The following is a 4,162-nucleotide window of genomic DNA, read 5'->3' as shown; positions in this document are numbered from 1 at the left end:
TCCCCCAATTATATGATGTTTTCATCTTTTTGAGTTAATGAAGTTTTTTAGGTCAAGTAGGTGGTAACCTAGGCTATTTGGAGAATAGGGAGATATTTGTAATTCTGAGTTATCCATCCAGAGTTGATCAAATTTTAAAAGTTTAACATTAAATTTAATATATATGTGTATGTATTATATCTAGACAATGCCTGGCATGTAGTAGGTACCCTATAAAAATGGTAGCGATTCTCTAAATTGATCTCTGGATGTTGTACTGTGCACCATCCATCTGTTTGATTAATTGTGTGGTTGCTTAGGCTTCATTCCTCCTTCTTCTGAAAATGCCACCACACCAAACCTGGGTCCACCCAGCCCAGGCGGCAAAGACAAGCACTGATTATAGCAGGATGGCAGTGAGACAAAGCGAGGGGAACTATTATTACCTTTTGGTTATTAGGTTGCTCATATACTTCTCAGGGCTAGCTAGGTGCCTGGAACTTTCCTTGAAGGAACTCAGGATTCTCCTTTATTTCCATGCTTGTGGATGGGGGTGCAGAGGAGGCCCCAGGGGTTCCTGCTCTGTCTCAGTAACAGCAGTTCAATTTTCTATTGAAATCCATTCCTCCTCTTAGTCAATGTGATTCTTCTTCTAGAATTGAACAGGGAGGACTTTTTCAGAGATGAATATATGACCAACAGTTAGTCACCAAGAATTACAGTGAGTGGTTGAAGGATGGGCAGTTAGACCACAGATATTTAGGCCTGTGTAAATACACAGTGACAGAAGCTACAAGGGATTTGGAGGATGGAACTCATTCTCTTGATAAAAGCAAAGTGAGGGTATTTCAATGGGACTGAACATCACGCAGAAATAATGCTGCCATTAAGCATTCAACTTCTAGCAATTTGTATTGGCCTCTCAGTCATTTAAGATTTTCTATAACATGAGTTGTCATAAAGTTTACACATATGATGGACTCATTTTTCCCTTATTTACATTGGGAAAGGTCTTTCTCACTGGAGATAAAGAAACTTTCTCCTGTGTCAACAAAAAGTGTCAAACTCTGTAAAATATTTGAAGAGATTTATTCTGAGCCAAATGTAAGTGACCAATGGACTGTGGCACAGCCTCAGGAGGTCCTGAGAACATGTGCTCAAGGTGGCTAGGCTGCAGCTTGGTTTTATTTATTTTAGGGAGGCATAAGGAACCAACCAATACATGTAAGAAGTACATTGGTTCAGTCTAGAAAAGGGGGAGAACTTGAAGCAGGGGCTTCCAGGTCATAGATAGATTCAAAGGTTTTCTGATTGGCAATTGGTTGAAAGAGTTAAGTTATTGTCTAAAGACCTAGCATCAATAGAAGGGAATATCTGGGTTAAGATAAAGGGTTGTGGAGACCAGGGTTCCCATTATGCAGAGGAAGCCTCCAGGTAGCAGGCTTCAGAGAGAATAGATTGTAAATGTGTCTTATCAGAGATGAGTCTCTCCTGGATCAGGAAAAAGACCTGGAAAGGAACTGAGATTCTCTACAGAATGCAGATTTTCCCCACAAGAGACAGCTTTGCAGGGCCATTTCAAAATATGTCAAAGAAATACACTTTGATTTTTTTCAGGGCCTGCTATCTGTTATGTGATGCCATCCTAGAGTCAGGCTGGAATTTGGTGTCCTATTGCTGCAAAGAGTCTGCTTTGTTAGTCATAAGACCTGTTTTAATGTTAATGCTGGTCAGCTGGGCCTGAATTCCAAAAGGGAGGGGGAGTATCATGAGGCATATCTGACACCCGCTTCCCATCATGGCCTGAACTAGTTTTTCAGGTTAACTTGGGAATGCCCTTGGCCAAGAGGAGAGGTCCATTCAGATGGCTGGGGGTCTTAGAATTTTATTTTTGGTTTACACATACTGTCTCTAGAATACCATCCAGGGAAAAAACCTACATTGACAATGTTGTCATCATGTGTTGGCTATTGGCTTCGGGCTTACTTTCTGCAATAGGCTAGAATTGATCATCAGCAGGACTGAATCCTAATTCTGTTATGAGAATGACATAAAGCTAAATCTACATTCAGAAAGCCTTGCTAAAAAGGTTGTTTGCTTGCTTTCACAGGATGAGATCCAGGCCTCTCAGAACACTCTGGGGGGAATTTTATGCCAGGACTATCTGAAAATTTGCAATTTCAGCAGGCTTTGTAATGTTTACCATTCAAATAACTAGACCCCAGCCTGGTATGACGCATGGTATAGCTGTTGAACAAATGTGGGGGAGGGAGGGAGGAATGAAGGGAACAAGCAAATACCCGACCTGGTTGACATTTCCAACACATACATAATCGTGGTCACATCCTAGAGAGATGTGGGCGAGGGGAAAAAGTTGAGAACCACTGCCTTAAACTTCATTGTCTGTAATCTCTCTATGCACCCTACTGAAACACAATGATTTGTGTGCTAAATTTCTCTGCTTTAGTACGATGTTTCCTTCGTTCTATGGTAGGATTTGTTGCAAGGTGAATTGCATCTGTTGCTAAGGAGATACTCAGGAGTCCTCAAGGTCCAGGCTTCAATAGATGATAGCAAGTGAGTTCTCCTGAAAGCTGAGGGCTAAAGCAAGGCAGGAATGCAAATTCTCCTTGGGGAAAGAGTGGGGCGGGACTACGTTTAGCATAGAGATTGCCTAATAGTTGTGACCAGCTTCACCTGGGAGAATGGGAGTCTAGAAAAAGCAGAGTACTAAGAAAGCAGCAATGCATATTAAAGCTAGGTTTTCAGATTAACTCAGGAGTAGTTATTTAAAAAAGAAAAGGAGAGAGAGGGGCACTGATCTTTTAATCAAGAAAGCAACCTCCCTCCCCAAGTAGCAGATAGACAAGGAAGGTTCCAAGGGTTTGCATACAGTGTGAAATCACAGAGCCTAGAGCCATACATAAGCCTATGGGTTGTTGCCAAGGCCTGAGAGATGTTGCTAAGGATTTCTCTTTTTGAAGCCACAGAGGAGGAAAAGGAGGAATCATAATACTGAAAGATTAGTGAGATGGCTACCAGATTCTGACTTAGACCAGAGATTCTTAAGTGGAAATGTATGCGTCCCCAGGAGGGAGAATCAAAAAGTTTCAGATCCTGTAGCTCATAGAGTGACTTAAAAATCCTTCAATAATTTCCTATTGCTTTAAAAATAAAATCCAAACTCTTTATCACGACCTCCAGGGCTGAGCATGAGCTGGCTCTAAACCTCTTCCCAGCCTCATCTCTCACCTACAGCCTGAATGAAATGAGGCTCACTGTCTGTCTTCTGCCTGACAATTCTGACAAAACCCCACCCCTCCCTCCTTCAAAACTCGTGACTCTTTCTGTGCCATTTCACTCTCACCCTTGGGTCTGGGCTTGTCACTTCTCCCAGGGGATTTCTCTAAACCCTCCTCAAGGTGGCCTCCCTAATTACCTACTTTCTTATCACCCAGCAGTTGTTACACCTGTAATTATTTGGTTTATTCATTGTTCTATCTTTCCCCATTAGAATATTTATTCATTCCAATAGTTATTCATTCAAACTATTTGTATCGAGCCTACCATGTGCCTAGAACAGTGTTTACTTAGGATTTATCAGTGAACAAAACAAAGTTTCTCATACTCAGGGACCTTACCTGAGAGACAGGAGAAATGTATAATAAATAAGTAACACACCTAATATGTCCGATGATGACATTTGCTATGGAAAATGTGAAGCAGGGAAGGTCAGTACAGAGGGCTGGGGGTGGGGGGAGTTGCAATTTGATCAGATTTTGTAACATTTACCACTCTAACAACCAGAGCCCAGCCTGGTGTGAGGCATGGTGTAGCTGTTGCACAAATGTCGGGGAGGGAAGGAGGAAGGAAAAGCAAATTCCCAACCTGGGGACATTTCCACCACATACGTGATCATAGTCACATACTAGAGGAATGTGGGTGAGGGGAAAAAGTTGAGAGCCACTGCCTTAAATTTCATTGTTTGTAGGCTGGGCACAGTGGCTCATGCCTGTAATCCCAGCACTTTGGGAGGCCAAGGAGGGCAGATCACTGGAGGTGAGACCATCCTGGCCAACATGGTGAAACCCTGTCTCTACTAAAAATACAAAAATTAGCTAGGCGTAGTGGCGGGCACCTGCCATCCCAGCTACTTGGGAGGCTGAGGCAGGAGAATCACTTG

This window comes from Homo sapiens, chromosome 18 (genome assembly GCF_000001405.40).
Source record: "Homo sapiens chromosome 18, GRCh38.p14 Primary Assembly".
NCBI classification, from domain to species: domain Eukaryota; kingdom Metazoa; phylum Chordata; class Mammalia; order Primates; family Hominidae; genus Homo; species Homo sapiens.
Note: the sequence above shows the minus strand (reverse complement) of the source record.